Raw genomic sequence first — 24171 nt, 5'->3', positions numbered from 1 at the left:
AATCCAGAAATTTGATATCTACATACAATAGAATACAATTCTATTCTATTGTATGTAGATTTAGGAACTGACTAATTTAGGAACTCTTTAAAAAATGTTTAAATAAAGCATTAAAAAGAAGTAAATTGGGGACAGGCGAGGTGGCTCACACCCCCAGCACTTTGGGAGGCCAAAGAGGGCAGATCACCTGAGGTCAGGCGTTCGAGACCAGCCTGGCCAACATGGTGAAACTCTATCTCTACTACAATACAAAAATCAGCCGGGAGTAGTGGTGGGCGCCTGTAATCCTGGCTACTCAGGAAGCTGAGTCAGGAGAATCACTTGAACCTGGGAGGCAGAGGTTGCGGTGGCTGAGCGCCACTGCACTCCAGCCTGGGCAACGAGAGCGAGACTCCATCTCCAAAGGAAAAAAAAAGAAGTAAATTGGCCGGTGGCAGTGGCTCACACCTGTAATCCCAGCACTTTGAGAGGTCGAGGCAGGAGGATTGCTTGAACCTAGGAGTTCGAGACCAGCCTGGGCAACAGAAGGAGACACACATCTCTACCAAAAATTAAAATTAAAATTAAAACAATTAGCCAGGCCTGGTAGTGCGTGCGTGTAGTCCCAGATACTTAGGAGGCTCAGGTTGGAGGCTTGCTTGAATCCAGGAGTTGAAGCCTGCAGTGAGCAATGATCACACCACTGCACTTCAGCCTGGGCTACAGAGCAAAACCCTGTCTCTTAAAAAAAAAAAAAAGAAGAAGAGGCCGGGCGTGGTGGCTCACGCCTGTAATCCCAACGCTTTGGGAGGCCGAGGCCGGCAGATCACGAGGTCAGGAGATCGAGACCATCCTGACTAACACAGTGAAACCCCGTCTCTACTAAAAAAATACAAAAAATTAGCCGGGCGTGGTGGCGGGCGCCTGTATTCCCAGCTACTCGTGAGGCTGAGGCAGGAGAATGGCGTGAACCCGGGAGGCGGAGCTTGCAGTGAGCCGAGATGCGCCACTGCACTCCAGCCTGGGCGACAGAGCGAGACTCCGTCTCAAAAAAAAAAAAAAAAAGAAGAAATAAATCCTAACACATACTACAAGGTGAAGCTCGAGGACATTATGCTAAGTGAAATAAGCACGTCAGGAAAGGACAAATACTTTATGACGCCATTTACATGAGATTCCCACAGTCAAATTCACGAACTCAGACAATGGAATGGAGGTTGCAAAAGACCCTGAGGGAAGGAGGTGCACGGGGAGTTGTGCAACGAGACAGATTTCAGTGTTGCAAGATGAAAACAATTCTGGAAATTGGCTTCACAATGTGAATGTATTTAACAGTACTGAAGAGAACACTTAAAATGGATGGGAGGCAAAGAACACATTCGGTTTAAACGCAAACGTCCTGGCGGGGACAAGCCGGACTGAAGCCAGGCCAGCTCAACCACGCCCCTTCCTGCTCCGCTGTCACTCAGTGATAAAGAGGCGGGGCCATTGGATCTGTCCAATCAGGACCTCAGCTGAAAAGATGTGAGCGGCGCCACGCTGGGCCTGCGCAGTGCGGACGTCGCCATTCCTGGCCCATGGGAAGATTGCGTTTCACCTGCTCCTGAAGGCCGAAGGTGGCTCTAGCGCATCCTTTGTCGCGCCGTGACCTGCAGGTACTGACAGATCCGTAGGGAGGACACCGTGACTTCCCGGACGCTGGGAAATGGTGAGTGTGCGGGGCCAGTGTCCGAGGGGAGGTTTCTGGTTGGAACCGTCTGTGGCCGAGGCCGGGGACCTCCTTGCAGTCAACTCCGGGGTTTGCAGACCCGGGGGCCACCGCGGGCGCAGTTCGGCCCTCGGTCCTCTCTGTGGGAGCTGGACCCGCAGCCGGGAGCCCCAGCGTCCTGTCCCGTCCCCGCGGGGCGACCTCGGCCCCCGGTCCTGGAGCCCTCTATGGGCAGCTCTGCGCCCGCAGCCCCGCGTCTCCCCGGATTGTTCGGTGACAGCGGGAGGGTCCTGGGGAGATCCCATCTCGGTCTGTGGGGTTTGTGCGTTTAAGAAACCACTTGGTTGGAAACCTTACGATGAATCCACGGGTGCGTTTCCTCACTTGTGAGAACCGAAGCCTGGCTAGGTCCTTGCTGCCGGGGTCAGGTTCCTGTGGCTGTTCAAACGCCCCTGCCCTCATCACCAGGGACTGACCCCCTCTAGTGCTCCCAGCACTCAAGTCTGGGGGTGTTTTTGACCTTCTGAATGTGGGCTTTCTTTTCGAACTGCGGGGAAGGGGACTCCTTATCTTAACTGATCAGAAAGTTTGTGTTTCTTCCCTTTGGACTCCTTGATCAAATATTAATTCTAGCCACCCTTAATTCCAGTTTCCCTTCGCTCTGGGTAATTTTGTTCCCTTGCGTGAATGTGTGCGATTTTTAGTTTCTTTGGTTTCTGGATGGAATTAATTGTGAGCTTGTTCAGGTTCTTTTAAATTTTCTTGTTTGTGTGTGTTTATCTGTGTGGTTTCTACCCAAGAGATTTCGCCTATGTTGGAGTGCCATGATGATGCAAAATCTCTGTATGTCATTTGTTCCGTATATAAGTGGTAAGCATTTTTTTTTGTGTGTGACGGAGTCTCGCTCTGTCGCCCGGGATGGAGTGCAGTGGCGCGATCTCCAGCTCACTGCAAGCTCCGCCTCCCAGGTTCAAGCCATTCTGCCTCAGCCTTCCCAGTAGCTGGGACTACAGGCGCCCGCCACCACGCCCAGCTAATTTTTTTGTATTTTTAGTAGAGACGGGGTTTCACCGTGTTAGCCAGGATGGTCTCGATCTCCTGACCTTGTGATCTGCCCGCCTTGGCCTCCCAAAGTGCTGGGATTACAGGCGTGAGCCACCGCGCCCGGCTAAGTGGTAAGCTTTGAGGTGTTTGTGAGAGTGATGTTTATGACACACACCACTTTGATACATTCTGATTGTAAGTGTATGTTGTGATTTTTTCTTTCCTCGTGTGGTTGTAATAGGTCAGTGTGTTTTTCTCTGAGCAATTAACCAGTGGAAGGTTCCTAAGTCTAGAGTCATTGTGGGTAGTTTTGTTGTTGTTTTTTTTCTTTTTTTTGAGATGGAATCTCACTCTGTCGCCCAGGCTGGAGTGCAACGGCATGATCACAGCTCACTGCAACCTCTGCCTCCCTGGTTCAAGCAGTTCTCCTGCTTCAGCCTCCTGCATAGCTGGGATTACAGGCACCCACCACCACACCCGGCTAATTCTTTTATTTTTTAGCAGAGATGGGGTTTCACCATGTTGGCCAGGCTGGTCTTGAACTCCTGACCTCAGGTGGTCTGCCTGCCTCAACCTCCCAAAGTGCTGGGATTACAGGCATGAGCCACCGCGCCTGGCTGATTGTGGGTATTCTTTTGATGCTGATATGTCAGTTTGGGTACCATATCTAGTTTGGGTACCCTATCCTGAAAGGTGTAGTATATAGTTTTTCAGAATTGGAATACTAATTATTTTTGTATAAAATAATCAATAAATAATGGTTTTTCTAAGGTGGTTATTTGTAGATTATATCTTTTATCTGTCTGTGTACTTGGGTCAAAAGCTAGTTGTGAGTCTCCTCATCTTAATTCAAGTAGGCTTAATATACGTGACCTTGAATCTTCACATCCTGATGGTTTGGATGTATCCAGTTGAACTACAGCTGCTTTATGCCAGTGTTTTGTAAATAATTTTCCTGATTGTATTGGGTTTCTTTTTTTATATTTTCTTTCTTCTTTTGAGATGGAGTTTCACTCTTGTTGCCCAGGCTGGAGTGCAATGGGGTGATCTCGGCTCACCGCAACCTCCGCCTTCCAGGTTCAAGCGATTCTCCTTCCTCAGCCTCCCTAGTAGCTGGGATTACAGGCATGCGCCACCACGCCCAGCTAATTTTGTATTTTTAGTAGAGACAGGGTTTCTCCATGTTAATCAAGCTGGTCTCGAACTCCCAACCTCAGGTGATCCGCCCGCCTCAGCTTCCCAAAGTGCTGGGATTACAGGCATGAGCCACTGCGCCCGGCCTGTATTGGATTTCTTATGTTATTCCAAGTCTGAGTTAGTATAAGTACTTCGCTTAGTACATTGGGTTTGCAGTCAGTCTTTCACCGTCAAGTTTATTAATGTAAATAGATTGGTTTTTAAGATGCCTACCTTGTAATTGATACTGTAATTAAACACCTTTTGATATTCTGTGAGGTCATTTATATGAGTCATCATTGATTGTATTTCATTGTCTGTGAGATAGAGGAGAGTATGAAAGTGGTAGTTGACATGTGGGAGTTAAGTTTGTGTTTAAAATCAAACCCTGCCCTTAAATAAAACTGCGGGCTGGGCACGGTGGGTCACGCCTGTAATCCCAGCACTTTGGGAGGCCGAGGCGGGCGGATCACCTGAGGTAAGGAGTTCAAGACCACCCTGACCAACATAGTGAAATCCATCTCTACTAAAAATACAAAAAAAAATTAGCCGAGCCTGGTGGCACACACCTGTAATCTCAGCTACTCAGGAGGTTGAGGCAGGAGAATTAGAATTGCTTGAACCCAGGAGGCAGAGGTTGCAGTGAGCTAATGCCACTGCACTCCAGCCTTGAGACTCTGTCTCAAAAAAAACTAACTAAATAAATAAAGGTAGTTTGCATATATTGTAGCCAAGCTTGCCACGAATGTGAATTTAGTATGTGTTGAATTATGTCACATTCTGAATGGTGCTGTGTCTGTTCATTCAGTTTGATTTGTAAAGCTTATCGGTCTAGGTATATGTAGCCATTTTAGTAAATTATATTGAAAAATGGGTGAGGGTAAGGTTTTTCACCTGTAGGATGATGAAATACAGCTCTAATATATGTTAAGGTGGAAGCATATTAATGTTGGTCATCCCTTAAAATATGTGTCTCATTGGGTGATTCTGTACATTTTTTTTTATAAGTTTCTCAGTTGTGGTGTTTAATTGGTACCCTTGAAAACAAGTATATTTAGGACAACTCTGTCTACATAATCTTCTGTTGTTTTAGCATGTGTTTCAGAAGTCGTGTGTGTAGGCCCAGGTGTGGTGGCTCATGCCTGTAATCCCAGCACTTTGAGAAACCGAGATGAGTGAATCACCTGAGTCAGGAGTTCGAGACCAGCCTGGCCAACGTGGTGAAACTTTGTCTCTCCTGAAAATACAAAAAATTAGCTGGATGTGGGGGCTGGCGCCTATAATTCCAGCTACTCGGGAGGCTGAGGCAGGAGAATTGCTTGAACCCAGGAGGCTGAGGTTGCAGCGAGCTGAGATTGCGCCATTGCACTCCAGCCTGGATGACAGAGGAAGACTGCCTCAAAAAAAAAAAAAAAAGTTGTGTGTGTAAAGTGATGAGGATCAGTTAAGATTATTGGGTGGGCCAGGCACAATGGCTCACACCTGTAATCCCAGCACTTTGGGAGGCCAAGGTGGGTGGATCACGAGGTTAGGAGTTCCAGACCAGCCTGGCCAACATGGTAAAACACTGTCTCTACTAAAAAATACAAAAATTAGCTGGGTGTGGTGGTGGGTGCCTTTAATCCCAGCTACTTGGGAGGCTGAGGCAGGAGAATCGCTTGAACCTGGGAGGCGGAGGTTGCGGCGAGCTGAGATCACGCCACTGTACTCCAGCCTGGGCAACAGAGCAAGACTCCGTCTTGTCGGGGGGAAAAGATTACTGGGTGTAATCTTTGTTTCCAATCTAATTCTACTATGAGGATTTTTTTAGTTCTGTCAAAGAATTGTGGTTCTGTCAAATAAGTTTGACTTTTGGCATAATTATAACAAGGTTGGAAGGCAAAATTTCTCAAAAGTGGAAAGTTAGAGAATCATTATAGTATGTCTTATCCTCTTCTATTATATATCACAGTCCAATGGGTATCCCAGTGGCATTGGTATTTTTTCCCGTGGAGGTCTGAAAGTTGGGTATATGTAATATGAATGATTGGTGTGATAGCTGTGTCTGGTGTTGTACCATCTTTTAGATCTGCTTTGTAATCATAATCTTTACTTCCTTCGAGTTCAGATTGGTACCAGAATTCACATCAAGTATCAACAAATGACTCATAGGAGTATATATCATATTTAAGCTTGTCATGTTAGTTCTTCCAGTATATGTTTTTTTTTTTTTTTTTTTTTGAGACGGAGTTTCGCACTTTCGCACAGTCTGGAGTGCAGTGGCTCGATCTTGGCTCACTGCAACCTCTGCCTTCCAGTTTCAAGTGATTCTCCTGCCTCAGCCTCCTGAGTAGCTGGGATTACAGGTGCCTGCCACCATGCCTGGCTACTTTTTGTATTTTTATTAGAGTCGGGATTTCACCATGTTGGCCAGGCTGGTCTTGAACTCCTGACCTTGTGATCCACCCACCACGGCCTCTCAAAGTGCTGGGATTACAGGCATGAGCCTCTGCACCTGGCCCCAGTATATGGTTTGACTGTGGTACTGGGATTGGTGTTTGGTCTGACAGATTGCTTTTATCTAATGATCTGTTTTGTTTTGTTGTTGTGTTTTTTTGTTTGTTTTGTTTTGTTTTGTTTGAGACAAGAGTCTCACTGTGTTGCCCAGGCTGGAGTGCAATGGTGCGATCTTGGCTCACTGCAACCTCCACATCCCAGGTTCAAGCGATTCTCCTGCCTCAGCCTCCCGAGTGGCTGGGATTATAGGCATGAGCCACCATGCCAGCTAATTTTTGTATTTTTAGTAGAGACGGAGTTTCACCATGATGGCCAGGCTGGGTAATGATCTGTTTGGATTGGCATGTCTGTTTCTGGTAGCATTTTTCTATTATTATGTGTGCTGTCCATTGGTTTGAGATGTTATTGAATGCTTGATTATAGCTACATACATTGGTTGAGTCGCATTTATGTGGTCTTCTAAGGGGTGTTTGGGAATACATGCCAAGCGTCTATAAAGATGCATTGATTGGATGTGTGTGTAGAAACTCTTTAGGCATTCATTTCAAATGGTCTGAGACTACATATTATTAGTCCCTTGATTTTTCTGGCAGTTGTTCAAAAAAGAATATATTTTCATCAAGTACATGTGGAGTGTGTTCTGGTAATCGTGTGATTTTAGGTATGAGTTGGCATTGTTGGATATCTATGTATTCGAGGCTCAGGAATTTTTACGGTGGCTTTAGTAGGAGTGGTAGGAACAGAAGTAGTAGTAGTAGTAGTTGTTGTATCTGTTATATCCCTTTTATATTCTAAAATATTTTAGGCTGCGTGCATTGCCTCACACCTATAATCCCAGCACTTCGGAAGGTCAAGGCGGGAGGATGACTTGAGACCAGCAACATAGGGAGACCCCATCACTACAAAAAAAGAAAAAAATTAACTATTTTAGTCTATTTGTGTCAATCCTATGTTTTATATTAATTATTGGATATGTAATATGTATCTGATTAAACATAACACTGTAACAACTAAGATATAACAGTACTCGGCCTTGAGGCTCCAAGATGGCCAAATAGGAACAGCTCCAGTCTACAGCTCCCTGCATGAGCAATGCAGAAGATGGGTGATTTCTGCATTTCCAACTGAGGTACCAGGTTCATCTCACTGGGGCTTGGCAGACAGTGGGTGCAGCCCATGGAGCAGGGCGGGGCATTGCCTCACTTGGGAAGTGCAAGGGGTCGGGGAATTCCCTTTCCTAGTCAAGGGAAGCCGTGAAAGATGGTATCTGGAAAATCGGGACACTTCCACCCTAATACTGCACTTTTCCAACAGTCTTAGCAAATGACACACCAGGAGATTATATCCCATGCCTGGCTCGGAGGGTCCCACACCCACGGAGCCTCTTTCACTGCTAGCACAGCAGTCTGAGATCAAACTGCAAGTCGGCAGCAAGGCTGGGGAAGGGGCGTCCGTCATTGCTGAGGCTTGAGTAGGTAAACAAAGCGGCTGGGAAGCTCGAACTGGGTGGAGCTCACCACAGCTCAAGGAGGCCTGCCTGCCTCTGTAGACTCCACCTCTGGGGGCAGGGCATAGCTGAACAAAAGGCAGCAGAAACTTCTGCAGACTTAAATGTCCCTGTCTGACAGCTTTGAAGAGAGTAGTGGTTCTCCCAGCATGGATTTTGAGATCTGAGAACGGACAGACTGCCTCCTCAAATGGGTCCCTGACCCCTGAGTAGCCTAACTGGGAGACACCTCCCAATAGGGGCCAACTGACACCTCATACAGCCGGGTGCCCCTCTGAGACGAAGCTTCAAGAGGAAGGATCAGGCAGCAACATTTGCCGTTCTGCAATATTTGCTGTTCTGCAGCCTCCGCTGGTGATATCCAGGCAAATGGTCTGGAGTGGACCTCCAGCAAACTCCAACCAACCTGCAGCTGAGGGTCCTGACTGTTAGGAGGAAAACTAACAAACAGAAAGGACATCCACACCAAAACCCCATTTGTACGTCACCATCATCAAAGACCAGAGGTAGATAAAACCACAAAGATGGGAAGAAACCAGAGCAGAAAAGCTGAAAATTCTAAAAATCAGAGCACCTCTTCTCCTCCAAAGGAATGCAGCTCTTTGCCAGCAATGGAACAAAGCTGGACGGAGAGAATTACTTTGATGAGTTGAGAGAAGAAGGCTTCAGATGACTGGTAATAACAAACTTCTCTGAGCTAAAGGAGGATGTTCAGACCCATCGCAAAGAAGCTAAAAACCTTGAAAAAAGATTAGACGAATGGCTAACTAGAATAAACAGTGTGGAGAAGACCTTAAATGACCTGATGGAGCTGAAAACCGTGGCACGAGAACTACTTGATGCATGCACAAGCTTCAGTAGCTGATTTCATCAAGTGGGAGAAAGGGTATCAGTGATTGAAGATCAAATGAATGAAATGAAGTGAGAAGAGAACTTTAGAGAAAAAAAGAGTAAAAAGAAATTAACAAAGCCTCCAAGAAATTTGGGACTATGTGAAAATACAAATCTACATCTGATTGGTATACCTGAAAGTGACGGGGAGAATGGAACCAAGTTGGAAAACACTCTTCAGGATATTATCCAGGAGAACTTCCCCAACCTAGCAAGGCAGGCCAACATTCAAATTCAGGAAATACAGAGAATGCCACAAAGATACTCCTCGAGAAGAGCAACTCCAAGATACATAATTGTCAGATTCACCAAAGTTGAAATGAAGGGAAAAATGTTAAGGGCAGCCAGAGAGAAAGGTCTTGTTCCCCACAGAGGGAAGCCCATCAGACTAACAGCAAATCTCTCGGCAGAAACTACAAGCCAGAAGAGAGTGGGGGCCAATATTCAACATTCTTAAAGAAAAGAATTTTCAACCCAGAATTTCATATCCAGCCAAACTAAGCTTCATAAGTGAAGGAGAAATAAAATCCTTTACAGACAAACAAATGCTGAGAGATTTTGTCACCACCAGGCCTGCCCTAAAAGAGCTCCTGAGGGAAGCACTAAACATGGAAGGGAACAACTGGTACCAGCCACTGCAAAAACATGCCAAATTGTAAAGACCGTTGATGCTAGGAAGAAACTGCATCAACTAACAAGCAAAATAACTAGCTAACATCATAATGACAGGATCAAATTCACACATAATATTAACCTTAAATGTAAGTGGGGTAAATGCTCCAATTAAAAGACACAGACTGGCAAATTGGATAAAGAGTCAACACCCATCAGTGTGCTGTATTCAGGAGACCCATCTCACGTGCAGAGACACACATAGGCTCAAGATAAAGGGACAAAGGAAGATCTACCAACCAAATGGAAAACAAACAAAAGTAGGGGTTGCAATCCTAGTCTCTGATAAAACAGACTTTAAACCAACAAAGATCAAAAGAGACAAAGAAGGCCATTACATAATGGTAAAGGGATCAATTCAACAAGAAGAGCTAACTATCCTAAATATATATGCACCCAATACAGGAGCACCCAGATTCATAAAGCAAGCCCTTAGAGACCTACAAAGAGACTTAGACTCCCACACAATAATAATGGGAGACTTTAACACCCCACTGTCAACATTAGACAGATCAACAAGACAGAAAGTTAACAAGATATCTAGGAATTGAACTCAGCTCTGCACCAAGCAGACCTAATAGACATCTACAGAACTCTCCACCCCAAATCAACAGAATGTACATTCTTCTCAGCATCACATCGCACTTATTCCAAAATTGACCACATAGTTGGAAGTAAAGCACTCCTCAGCAAATGTAAAAGAACAGAAATTATAACAAACTGTCTCTCAGACCACAGTGCAATCAAACTAGAACTCAGGATTAAGAAACTAACTCAAAACCACTCAACTGCATCGAAACTGAACAACCTGCTCCTGAATGACTATTGGGTGCATAACGAAATGAAGGCAGAAATAAACATGTTCTTTGAAACCAGTGAGAACAAAGACAAAACATACCAGAATCTCTGGGACACATTTAAAGCAGCGTGTAGAGGGAAATTTATAGCACGAAATGCCCACAAGAGAAAGCAGGAAAGATCTAAAATTGACACCCTAACATCACAATTAAAAGAACTAGAGAAGCAAGAGCAAACACATTCAAAAGCTAGCAGAAAGCAAGAAATAACTAAGATCAGAGCAGAACTGAAGGAGATAGAGACACAAAAAACTCTTCAAAAAATCAATGAATCCAGGAGCTGGTTTTTCAAAAAGATCAACAAAATTGATAGACTGCTAGCAAGACTAATAAAGAATAAAAGAGAGAAGAATCAAATAGATGCAATAAAAAATGATAAAGGGGATATCACCACTGATCCCACAGAAATACAAACTACCATCAGAGAATAGTATAAACACCTCTACGCAAATAAACTAGAAAATCTAGAAGAAATGGATAAATTCCTGGACATACACCCTCCCAAGACTAAACCAGGAAGAAGTTGAATCCCTGAATAGACCAATAACAGGCTCTGAAATTGAAGCAACAGTTAGTAGCGTACCAACCAAAAAAAGCCCAGGACCAGATGGATTCACAGCCAGATTCTACCAGAGGTACAAAGAGTAGCTGGTACCATTCCTTCTGAAACTATTCCAATTAATAGAAAAAGAGGGAATCCTCCCTAACTCATTTTATGAGGCCAGCATCATCCTGATACCAAAGCCTGGCAGAAACACAACAAAAAAAAGAGAATTTTAGACCAATATCCCTGACGAATATTGAATCAAAAATCCTAAATAAAATACTGGCAAACTGAATCCAGCAGCACATCAAAAAGCTTATCCACCATGATCAAGTTGGCTTCATCCCTGGGATGCAAGGCTGGTTCAACATACACAAATCAATAAATGTAATCCATCATATAAACAGAACCAAAGACAAAAACCACATGATTATCTCAATAGATGCAGAAAAGGCCTTCAACAAAATTCAACAGCCCTTCCTTCATGCTAAAAACTCCCAATAAACTAGGTATTGATTGGATGTATCTCAAAATAATAAGAGCTATCTATGACAAACCCACAGCCAATATCATACTGAATGGGCATAAACTGGAAGCATTCCCTTTGAAAACTGGCACAAGACAGGGATGCCCTCTCTCACCACTCCTATTCAATATAGTGTTGGAAGTTCTGGCCAGGGCAATCAGGCAGGAGAAAGAAATAAAGGGTATTCAATTAGGAAAAGAGGAAGTCAAATTGTCCCTGTTTGCAGATTTTATGTTTAGAAAACCCATCGTCTCAGCCCAAAATCTCCTTAAGCTGATAAGCAACTTCAGCAAAGTCTCAGGATACAAAATCAATGTGCAAAAATCACAAGCATTCCTATATACCAATATCAGGCAAAAGAGAGCCAAATCATGAGTGAACTCCCATTCACAATTGCTACAAAGAGAATAAAATACCTAGGAATCCAACTTACAAGGGATGTGAAGGACCTCTTCAAGGAGAACTATTCAAGGAGAACTACAAACCACTGCTCAATGAAATAAAAGGGGACACAAACAAATGGAAGAACATTCCATGCTCATGGATAGGAAGAATCAATATAGTGAAAATGGCCATACTGCCGAAGGTAATTTATAGATTCAATGCCATCCCCATCAAGCTACCAATGACTTTCTTCACAGAATTGGAAAAAACTACTTTAAAGTTCATATGGAACCAAAAAAGAGCCCATATAGCAAAGACAATCCTAAGCCAAAAGAACAAAGCTGGAGGCATCACGCTACCTGACTTCAAACTATACTACAAGGCTACAGCAACCAAAACAGCATGGTACTGGTACCAAAACAGAGATACAGACCAGTGGAACAGAACGGAGCACTCAGAAATAATACCACACATCTACGACCCTGATCTTTGACAAACCTGACAAAAACAAGAAATGGGGAAAGGATTCCCTGTTTAATAAATGGTGTTGGGAAAACTGGCTAGCCATATGTAGAATAAGGTGAGACATAGGAGATCTTAGAAAGGCTAAAGGTGATCTTGGAGAAACTAAGTCTCCATGCTGGGAGTGCACTGTTGCTGTCAGTCTGCAAATTATTAATCAGATACTGTGCTTGGCAAGCAGATGGTGTAATTTGTCATTTGTCTGCAGTGGTGTGTATGCTTGTGTTACCCTGGTTTATGTGGTTGGAATTTAAGTAATAACAAGACAGTAAAGTCACTCTGATGACTAGCAGAGGTGAATGAGAAAGGCGGTAAGACCAACTGAGAAGCTACACAAATTTGTAGCCAGGTTGTTCTTTTTTTTTTTTTTTTTTGAGACTGAGTCTTGCTCTGTCACCCAGGCTGGAGTGCAATGGCGCAATGTTGGCTCACTGCATACTCTGCCTCCTGGGTTCAAGCAATTCTCCTGCCTCTACCTCCCTAGTAGGTGGGATTACAGGTGGCTGCCACCATACCTGGCTAATTTTTGTATTTTTTAGTAGAGACAGGGTTTCACCATGTTGATCAGGCTGGTCTTGAACTCCTGACCTCAGGTGATCCACCCACCTCGGCCTCCCAAAGTGCTAGGATTACAGGCATGAGCCACCACACCAAGCCCAGGTTGTTGTTCTTAAGCAAGTAAACGAGTTATTCCAGTGATGGCTACAGGTGATGTTGAAGTTAAAAATACGAGGTGAGTGGCAAGTAAAACTGGATTGAAGTATACCTTCAATTATTCTTATGGAAATATTGATGCAATCAGTGACTTGAAGAAAACAGTGTAGTGCCACTGTTGTAAAAGGTGTAACAAATCTAGGTCTAGTGAGAATTTGGAGAAAAGTTGGAGATTTTGCATAATTCTAAGTCTCCTCTTTTACCTGTAGTCAATAAGTATTTTCATATCCATGGGCCAAGATGTCCTGCTGGGAGATAGAGTTGGCATTTAGTCAAATGCTCCCCTTGTAAGGTATAATCTTTGTATCATTGTCTTCCTTATCCTTTGTGACTATTAAGGTTGGTTGATTAAAGTAAGAGTAGGAAGGGCCGGGGGTGGTGGCTCATGCCTGTAATCCTAGCACTTTGGGAGGCCAAGGCGGGCAGATCATGAGGTCAGGAGTTCAAGACCAGCCTGACTAACATGGTGAAACCCCGTCTCTACTAAAAATACAAAAATTAGCCGGGCATGGTGGTGCGTGCCTATAGTCCTAGCTACTTGAGAGACTGAGGCAGGAGGATCACTTGAACCCGGGAGGTGGAGGTTGCAGTGAGCCAAGATCGCGCCACTGCGCTCCAACCTGAGTGACAGAGCAAGACTCTGTCTCAAAAAAATCAATAAATAAATAAAGTAAGAGTAGGAGGTTGTTCTTATGAATGCTTTCTCTTTTATTTAAATTAAAACATGCCGGGTTAAGAGCTTCTTGGGATGTGCTCACTTTGTCTAGGGTTTTCAATTCTCTTTTTAGTAGCCTGGTTAATTTCTATATACATCTTGCTGCTGTGGGATTATAGGGTAGGTGGAAATTCCATTGTGTATCTCATTGATCTGATGTCACTTGTGTAGTCCTTGATGTAAAATGAGTTCCCTGATTATTTTTAATTTTAGGGGCTTCCAATTATTTTAGGAGCTCTTAGAAAATTGAGCTGCCCAATTTCCTGGCAGGGCATGGTGGCTCATGCCTGTAATCCCAGCACTTTGGGAGGCCGAGGCGGACAGATCACTTGAGGTCAGGACCTTGAGACCAGCCTGGCCAACATGGCGAAACCCCGTCTCTACTAAAAATACAAAAAAATTAGCCAGGCATGGTGGCAGGCGCCTGTTATTTAAGTTACTCGGAAAGCTGAGGCAGGAGAATTACTTGAACCCAGGAAGCAGAGGTTGCAGTGACCCGAGGTTGTGTCATTGCACTCCAGCCTGGGCAACAAGAGCGAGACTCCATCTCAAAAAAAAAAAAAAAAGATATGTTTTATGTTCCAGAATGTGGGCTACCTTGGTGAATGTTCCATGTGAACTTGAGAAGAATGTATATCCTGCTATTGCTGGTCTAAGTGTTTTGATTTTCCGTTCAGTCCAGTTGTTTGATGGTACTGTTCAGTTCAACAATGTCCTTCCTCATTTTCTGCCTGCTGGATCTGCTATTGCTGATAGACAGGTATTGAAGTCTCCAGCTATACTTCATGGCTCCATGCAGTTCTCCCTGCCGTTCCATCAGTTTTGCCTCATTATTTTGCCACTCTGTTTTTATGCACATACACACTAAGGATTGCCTTGTCTTCTTGGTGAATTGATCACTTTGTTATTACATAATGCCCCTGTGTCACTGAGATTTCCAGGATGTGAAGTCAGCTTTGTCTGAAATGAACATAGCTGTGTTACTTTTCTTTTTCTTAGTGTTAGCATGGCATATCTTTCTTCATTCCTTTATTTTTAATGTATCTATAACTGTATATTTAAAATGTGTTTCTTTTCAACACCGTATATTTGATCCATTATTGACAGTATCTGTCCACCATTTGTTGTATTTAGACCATTGATGTTTAACATGTTATTGATTTAGTTGTATTAATGTCTCCCTTTTTCTTTTTATGTTTTTCTATTTGTTGTTGTTCTTCCTTTCCCATCTTCTATTCTTTTTCTACCTTATCTGCTTTCATTAAGCATTTTACTTGATGCCATTTTTCTCCCCACTTAGCACATCAATTATAGTTTTTTGTTGTTTTTTAAGTTTTACTCATTGCCTTTGAGTTTGTAGTACATGCTTACAAGTAACCCAAGTCCTCTTGTAAAGAACACTGTACTACCTCACTGGTTGTGCAAGTACCTCATGAAAAAGTATTCCCAATTCCTCCTTTCCTGTCCTTTGTAACATTGCTACCATACGTATCATTTATCCATAAGCTGGACTTACCAAATATATTGTTCCTGTTAGTGTTTTGGACAAACTCATCTGTCAGATTACAAAAAAGAGATTGTATTTTACTTGTATTTATTTTTTCTCTAATACCCTTCTTTATCGTTTTTCTTTTTTGTAGGGAATTTTTTAACAGTTCTTTCAAGGCAGGTACGCTAGTGACAGATTATCTTTTCTTATCTCATAAAGCTTTCATTTCTCTTCCATTTTGAGGGATATTCTTGCTCTATACAGAATTCTATGTGGTTGGGGGTTTTGTCTTATAATGTTTTAAACATTTCACTCCAGTCTCTTCTTGCTTTCACTTTCTGTAAAGAGTCTTGGGCTGGTCCTGGTGGCTCACGTCTGTAATCCCAGCCCTTTGGGAGGTCGAGGTGGGCAGATCACTTGGGGCCAGGAGTTTGACACCCACCTGGCCAACATGGCAAAACCCCATCTCTACTGAAAATACAAAAAATTAGCTGGACATGGTGGTGCGTACCTGTAATCTCAGCTACTCGGAGGCTGAGGCAGGAGAATTGCTTGAACCCAGGAAGTGGAGGTTGCAGTGGGCCAGGATCGTCCCACTGCACTCCAGCCTGGGCAACAGAGTGTGACAATGTCTCAAAAAAAAGAGTCTGACTTAATTCTTTTATGTTTTTATAACAAAGATGTTGTTTGTTCCCCCTGTAACTTCTTTCAAAGTTTTTCTTTGTCTTTTAATTTTCTCCTTGAATATGATACACCCAGGTGTGGATTTGGGGGTATTTATGTTGCTTGGCATTCCTGGATATTTCCTTTCATGTATAACATTAATTTTGGGAAATTATCAGTCATTATTGCTTCAGTTATTTCTTCTGTTTCTTTCTTGTCTTTAGTTAGTACTATTATGTGTATGTTCCACTTTTTGTAATTTTCTGACAGTTTTTGGATCTTCTGATGTCTTGTTTCTCCTTTTCAGTTTGACGGGTTATACTGACAGTTCTTCAAGATCACTCATCATCTCTTCAGACATTTCCACTGTATTGATGAACCTGTAAGGCTGTTCTTCATTTCTGTTGCAGTGTATTTTATGTCCTTCGTTACCTTTTGATTCTTTGTTAGAATTTCTATATATATGCTTAAATTGTCTATTTTTTCTTTCATATTGTTCAACATTTCCATGAGAACCCTTAGTATATTAATCATATTTGGTTTAAATTTCTGATCTGACAATTCCAACATCTCTTCTATACCTAATCTGGTTCTGGTGCTTGACCTCTGTCTTCTAATTCTGTTCTTAAAACCTTTTTGTATTTCGTATAATTTTTGTTGAAAACTCGACAAGATGTACTGGGAAAAAGAAACTGAGGTAAATAGGCCTTGAGTGTGAGGTTTTAGGTTTATCCTACTGGGTTTTGTCTCTGTTTACTGTTTTCAGTAGCCGTAGATGTCAGAGGTTAAAATTTCCTTTGATGTCCTTGCTTTTCTCTCTCCTGTCATCTTTGGGCTTCTCTAGACACTTGTTAAATAAAGTCTGAAACATGCAGAAAGAAACAGTGCAATATTCTTTCATTGCAGTCACCTGTTTTTAAACAGAAACCCTAATGACAATAGTGGTAAGGTGTAGGTGGAAGGGAAACATGTTATAGTCCTATGATTTGATCTCAGTCTTTTAGTGAGCCTGTGCCCGAGCTGTGATGTTTTGTGATATGATAAGAAAGATACTTAGTCTTTGTGTGTGATTCCTAGCACAGAGCTCCTAAATCCCTTGAATTTCACAAGTGAGAAGGGTGAAAGGATCCTCCTTGTTTGCAAAGCAGCACTCTTAGGAGATCCTAGATGACTTTAGGATTAGGATTGGTGACCAGAAAGACCTGCCCTTGAACTTTCAGCCCTAGCCCCCAGCCTCACAAGAGAAAAGAGGAGCTGGAGATTGAATTAATCATTAGTGTGTAATGATTTAATCAATCATATCTGTGTGTTGGGACCTTCATAAATATTGGGGTTCTGAGAACTTCCATGTTGGTGAACATATTGAGGTGCTGTGAGGATGGCACACCCAGGGAATGCATGGAAACATCCCACCTGCTCTGCATACCGACCAATGGGCCTCTTCCACTTGGCTGTTCCTGAGTTGTATGTTTTGTAATTAAACCGGTGATGCTAAGTATATCACTCTCCTGACTTCTGAGGGAGGCCCTAGTGAATTACTGAACTATAAAGGGTGGTGTGGGAACTCCAGATTTGTAGTTGGCGTGTAGAAGCATGGGTGGCCTGGGCACCCTACCGTGTGGCTTGCATCTGACATGGGGGCAGTCTTGTGGGACTGAGTCCTTAACCTGTGGAGTCTGACTAATTCTGGGTACTTAGAATTGAATTAAATTTTAGGGCACAGTCGATGTCAGAGATTTGGAGAATGGCGTTGGAAAAGACACCTTGTATTGGTGTTGGGAAGACAAAAAACGGTTCACCTTCACACATGCTTCTGTGTCCCTGCCCCCAGGTCACATAGGCTTTGGTAAAATCATAGTAGGTTGGGCTTTTGTTGAAATGGAATTTTTTGAGAACAGGTCTTCTTAAGAAGAACATTATGTTCTGGGAATATTACAAAACTGTTACTTTTCCTATTCATCTCTCAAATTTTAGAGAGAAAACTTTGCCTTATGACCCTCAATTCTTTAATGGATCCAAGAAGGGTAATTGATTTGATGTTTATTTTTTACTTGCACGGCTGGGATTGACAATTTCTACGTTCCTTACTTGTGAGACCAGAAATTGGAAGTCTCTGACTTCATTTTTTTGTGATGTTTGATGGATGATAGCTTTAAAATCTCATTATTGCCAGGCATGGGGACTCACACCTATAATCCCAGCACTTTGGGAGGCGGAGGCAGGCAGATCGCTTGAGCCCAGGAGTTCAAGCCCAGCCTGGCCAACATGGCAAAACCCTGTCTCTACTAAAAACACAAAAATTAGACGGGTGTGGTGGTGCACATCTGTAATCCCAGCTATTCAGGAGGCTGAGGCACAAGAATCGCTTGAACCTGGGAGGCGAAGGTTGCAGTGAGCCGAGATCACGCTACAGCACTCCAACCTGGGCAACAGCGAAACTCGGTCTCAAAACAAATGAAATAAAATAAATAAAATAAAATCTCATTCCTCCTTTTCTACTATGTACCCTACATCCAGATGTGGTAGGAAGAAAGCCTGGGTCACCCTCATTTGGTGCTGGTGAGACATTCAATCCACATTAGCCCCTGCTTGTATGCTTGAACTCCCACACTAGCCCACTCCCTAACCTCAGTGAAAACCCCTAGCCAGCCTACCCGAGTCTTCCCAAAGTCTCAAGTAAACGCGTAATAAACCCTCTCCTGGTATACAAATTTTGTAGAGGTGTAAGTTGCCATACGTTCCTCCTCAGGCCTGAGCTCTAACTTCCTAGTAATCTCCTAGATCCATGAAATGTGAGAGAGAGAAAAAGGAAGAACTGAGCCTGTGATAAATATTACACAAACAAGTTGAAATTAATACTTCTGCAAAGAAATATTTTCATTCAGCCAGCTGGATTTGAGTACTTATAGTGGAACAGGAATTAAAAGAAATTTTAAAAATGTATAAGCAAAAACTCAGTTGTATGTAAGAAAAACCAGTTCCCCCTGAGGAAGAGAAAGATCTGAAGTCCTTTAAAAATTGACTGCCTATTTTTCTGTAGCTAGTGAGCCTTATCTCTCCCTTTCCCAGGCATTGTGAAGACTGTTTCTCTAGCTGTGCAGCTGCAAGGTCACTAAACAGATAATCTCAAGTCGTAAAACATGTTGTCGTTCCTTGAAAAGTAAGAAGTAATGTAATGCGTGTTTTAATTGAATAACTGTCTTTGTTTCTCGCTTCTGTAATACACTTCCCCCTGCACAAATCTCCTCCCCACCCCACGAAATGGTTAAAAGGTAGCTTGACTCTGTTTGGGGCTCAGTTCTTTGGATGTTAATCCAACTGGGTGGGTGCACCTAAATAATTAAATAATTCCTCCTCAACCCCTCAATCTCTCTGATTCCTTAATTACTCCACTGCAGTAGTGGCCTGGAGTCCTTCAGGACATGGCCAGCAGCTCCTTGTGACAATTTAGCTTTCCACAGGCCTCCTGGCCTCTCGTTTGTTGATGGGAATAAAAGAAAAGCCTACAGTTCTTGAAGGTGTATTTATTTATTAAAACCTTATCCAGATTGATTCCATGCGTAATGAAATGCTGAGTGATATGGTACGTAATAAGGTAGGAAATGAGTTTTTCTCACAAGGGATTAATGGTCTTAAAATTTGTTTCATTTGTATAGCATTTCTCTTACTTTTCCAGTGTGAGCTTGAGTCCACCTTTAGAGAACAATAAGGTTTCACATGATCACAGTAAAAATTTAGAAGTAATTGACCAGGCACAGTGGCTCACGCCTGTAATCCTAGCACTTTGGGAGGCCGAGGCGGGCAAATTGCCTGAGCTCAGGAGTTCGAGACCAGCCTGGCCAACATGGTGAAACCCCGTCTCTACTAAAAATACAAAAAATTAGATAGGTATGGTACACACCTGTAGTCCCAGCTACTTAGGAGGCTGGGGCACGAGAATCATTTGAGCTCCAGAGGCAGAGGTTGCAGTGAGCCAAGATCGCACCACTGAACTCCAGCCTGGGCAATAAAGCAAGACTCTGTCTCAAAAAAAAAAAAAAAAGAAAAAGAAAAAGGAAAAAGAAAAAAATAGAAGTAATTTCTGTGTGTTCATGACAGCATGAATTTTATGAGGAAGTCAGTGTGGACAGTCGTAGTTCTGACAGCTGAGTCATACACCAAATGTTTGGAGAACACAGAATTGTATGGGAACTTCTTACAAATCAAGTATAGATCCCCAGTACTGCCAGTCTTACCCATCCTCTGTAAACATATGTGGAATGTTTCAGGACTCAGTCTCCTTTGAGGATGTGGCCGTGAACTTCACCCTGGAGGAGTGGGCTTTGCTGGATTCTTCACAGAAAAAGCTCTATGAAGATGTGATGCAGGAGACCTTCAAAAACCTGGTTTGTCTAGGTAAGGATATCAACATTTCTTTCCTCAGTTAAATATAGAACACAGAACAAGTGTTTCTTGCTCAACAGCTGTGTTCCAAGATTTGAAATGTGGAAAGGGAATCTTTCAGTGATTGAATCAGACAGTCACAGCTAATCATGAAACTAGACTGTAACAATTTTCTATAATTTCTAATAATTTTTAATGGTCTTTCTGGGTATGCATTTTAGGAAAAAAGTGGGAAGACCAGGACATTGAAGATGACCACAGAAACCAGGGGAAAAATCGAAGGTGAGTTGCATCCACAGAAAAATAGTGGCCCGTGGGGGAATTTCAAAAGAAAGCAAGCAAAACAATTAAGCACAGCTTCAAATTTATTTATTCCTAGAAAACTTTCACTGAAAATGTTTTCTTAAAAACATCATAGATGTTCAGGATGTGAAAAATAAATCACTTCGAAATAGCATTTAGAAACCCCTTTTATAAATATTATTATTTTGGCCAGGCACAATAGTTCATGTAGGTAATCCCAGCAGTTTGGGAGGCTGAGGTAGGAGGATCACTTGAGGCCTGGAATTCAAGACCAGCCTGGGTAATATAGCAAGACCTCATCTGGGGAAAAAAAAAAAAAAAGGCCTGGCACAGTGGCTCATGCCTGTAATCCTAGCACTTTGGGAGGCCAAGGCAGGCAGATCATCTGAGGTCAGGAGTTCAAGACCAGCCTGGCCAACATGGCAAAACCCCATCTCTACTAAAAATACAAAAATTAGCCAGCTGTGGTGGTGTGCTCCTATAATCCCAGCTACCCAGGAGGCTGAGGCAGGAAAATTGCTGGAACCCAGGAGGCAGAAGCTGCAGTGAGCCTAGATCGTGCCACTGTACTCCAGCCTGGGCAACAGAGCAAGACTCCATCTTGGAAAAAAAAAAAAAATTAGCCAGGCATGGTGGCACTCTCTAGTCCCACCTGCTCAGGAGGCTGAGATGGGAGGATTGGTTGAGCCCAGGAATTCAAGGCTTCAGTGAGCTGTGATCATGCCACTGTACTCCAGCCTGGGTGAGAGAATGAGACTCCATCTCTTATTTAAACAACAACAACAAAAAAATTGACTGTTTTGATCATAACTATGGTTGAGTCTTCTTCCAGAGCATTGAATATATTAACTTTAAAACAATTCAGACAGGGCAGATATCCTATACTTTTTCTGAAAATGGTTAAAATGTAATTCTCATACCTACTAATAAATACAAAATAATTAAAAAGCCACTAATAATGTGCTATTCATTTTTTACAGATGTCATATGGTTGAGAGACTCTGTGAAAGTAGAAGAGGTAGCAAATGTGGAGAAACCACTAGCCAGATGCCAAATGTTAATATCAACAAGGAAACTTTTACTGGAGCAAAACCACATGAATGCAGCTTTTGTGGAAGAGACTTCATTCATCATTCGTCCCTTAATAGGCACATGAGATCTCACACTGGACAGAAACCAAATGAGTATCAGGAATATGAAAAGCAACCATGTAAATGTAAAGCAGTTGGGAAAACCTTCAGTTATCACCACTGCTTTCGCAAACATGAAAGAACTCACACTGGAGTGAAGCCCTATGAATGTAAACAGTGTGGGAAAGCCTTTATATATTACCAGCCATTTCAAAGACATGAAAGGACTCATGCTGGACAGAAACCCTATGAATGTAAGCAATGTGGAAAAACCTTTATATATTACCAGTCTTTTCAAAAACATGCTCATACTGGAAAGAAACCCTATGAATGTAAACAGTGTGGGAAAGCCTTTATATGTTACCAATCTTTTCAAAGACACAAAAGGACTCACACTGGAGAGAAACCCTATGAATGTAAGCAATGTGGTAAGGCTTTCAGTTGTCCCACATACTTTCGAACTCATGAAAGAACTCACACTGGAGAAAAACCCTACAAATGTAAAGAATGTGGTAAAGCCTTCAGTTTTCTCAGTTCTTTTCGAAGGCATAAAAGGACTCATAGTGGAGAGAAACCCTATGAATGTAAAGAATGTGGAAAAGCCTTCTTTTATTCTGCAAGCTTTCGAGCACATGTAATAATACACACTGGGGCTCGACCTTATAAATGTAAAGAATGTGGGAAAGCCTTCAACTCTTCTAATTCCTGTCGAGTGCATGAAAGAACTCATATTGGAGAAAAACCATATGAATGTAAACGATGTGGCAAATCATTCAGTTGGTCCATTTCTCTTCGATTGCATGAAAGAACTCATACTGGAGAGAAACCTTATGAGTGTAAACAGTGTCATAAAACCTTCAGTTTTTCAAGTTCCCTTCGAGAACACGAAACAACTCACACTGGAGAGAAACCCTATGAATGTAAACAATGTGGTAAAACCTTCAGTTTTTCAAGTTCCCTTCAAAGACATGAAAGGACTCACAATGCAGAGAAACCCTATGAATGTAAACAGTGTGGGAAAGCCTTCAGGTGTTCAAGTTATTTTCGAATTCATGAAAGGTCACACACTGGAGAGAAACCCTATGAATGTAAACAGTGTGGAAAAGTTTTCATTCGTTCCAGTTCCTTTCGACTGCATGAAAGAACACACACTGGAGAGAAACCCTATGAATGTAAACTATGCGGTAAAACCTTCAGTTTTTCAAGTTCCCTTCGAGAACATGAAAAAATTCACACTGGAAATAAGCCTTTTGAGTGTAAGCAATGTGGTAAGGCCTTCCTTCGTTCCAGTCAAATTCGATTGCATGAAAGGACTCACACTGGAGAGAAACCGTATCAATGTAAACAATGTGGAAAAGCCTTCATTTCTTCCAGTAAATTTCGAATGCATGAGAGAACTCACACGGGAGAGAAACCCTATCGATGTAAACAATGTGGGAAAGCCTTCAGATTTTCAAGTTCTGTTCGAATTCATGAAAGGTCTCACACTGGAGAGAAACCTTATGAATGCAAACAATGTGGAAAAGCCTTCATTTCTTCCAGTCACTTTCGACTGCATGAAAGGACTCATATGGGAGAGAAAGTCTAAGAATATAAGCAACATTCTGAAGCCTTCGGTTGTTCCAGCTCCTTCTGAATACACAAAAGAGTTCATACTGGACAGAAGCTGTGTGAATACAAACATTGTTCTAAAGCCCTTAATTGTTCCAGTTTCTTTTGAGCACGAAAGAATTCCCACTGGTGAGAAACAGTATGAATGTAAACATTGTGATTAAGCCTTCAGTTGACCTAATTCATTTCAAAGACAGGACTCGTGCTGCAGTGAAATCTGTTTTGTTTTTTGTTTTTTGTTTTTTTAAAAAAGGCCAAGCTTGTTGGCTCATGCCTATAGTCCCAGCACTTTGGGAGGCCAAGGTGCAAGGCAGGCAGATCATTTGAGGTCAGAAATTCGAGACCAGCGTGGTCAACATGGTGTAACCCCATCTCTACTAAAAATTACCAAAAAATGAACCAGGCATGGTAGTGCATGCCTCTAATCCCAGCTACTCAGGAGGCTAAGGCAGGAGAATCACTTGAACCTGGAGACAGAGGTTGCAGTGAGCTGAGATCACGCCACTGCATTCCAGCCTGTGCGACAGAATGAGACACTGTCTCAAGAAAAAATAAAAGTGGGAAAATCTTCCAACTGTCCTCTAGAGTGTGAATATATGAAAGGAGTCAGAGTGGGGTGAAAGTCTATAAATGTAAGACATTTGGGAAAGCCTTCACACAGCCTTTTGAGCACACATGAGAATGTATACTGGAGAGAAACCCTATAAATATTAAGAATGTGGGAAATTCTTCATCCTAGTTCTTTTGTTGTTGTTGATGATACAAAAATATTTTCATTTAATAAAGATTGTCAGGTTATATTTAATAAGAAAGAAAGTATCATGTAAACAGCCCAGTAATAAAATTTTACAATCTTA

The 24171-nt window shown here is 42.5% G+C and overlaps 1 protein-coding gene across 1 annotated transcript, besides 1 other annotated feature; it reads left to right on the top strand.

Moving 5' to 3' along the window:
- Positions 1-1530: 1530 nt before the first annotated feature.
- ZNF14 (zinc finger protein 14) lies at positions 1531-24171 on the top strand. The gene is made up of 4 exons (NM_021030.3): positions 1531-1687; positions 20156-20282; positions 20492-20552; positions 21554-24171. The coding sequence occupies exons 1-4, from the start codon at positions 1685-1687 to the stop codon at positions 23289-23291; spliced, it is 1929 nt and encodes a 642-aa protein (NP_066358.2). The 5' UTR covers positions 1531-1684; the 3' UTR covers positions 23292-24171.
- Positions 1876-2025: a silencer, noted in NCBI's record as "silent region_10457". NCBI's record gives its function as "represses an Ori minimal core promoter by ATAC-STARR-seq in GM12878 lymphoblastoid cells {active_cell/tissue: GM12878}" and the evidence as "EXISTENCE:reporter gene assay evidence [ECO:0000049][PMID:35858748]".

This window comes from Homo sapiens, chromosome 19 (genome assembly GCF_000001405.40).
Source record: "Homo sapiens chromosome 19, GRCh38.p14 Primary Assembly".
NCBI lineage: Eukaryota > Metazoa > Chordata > Mammalia > Primates > Hominidae > Homo > Homo sapiens.
This window is presented reverse-complemented; position numbering and strand designations above follow the sequence as displayed.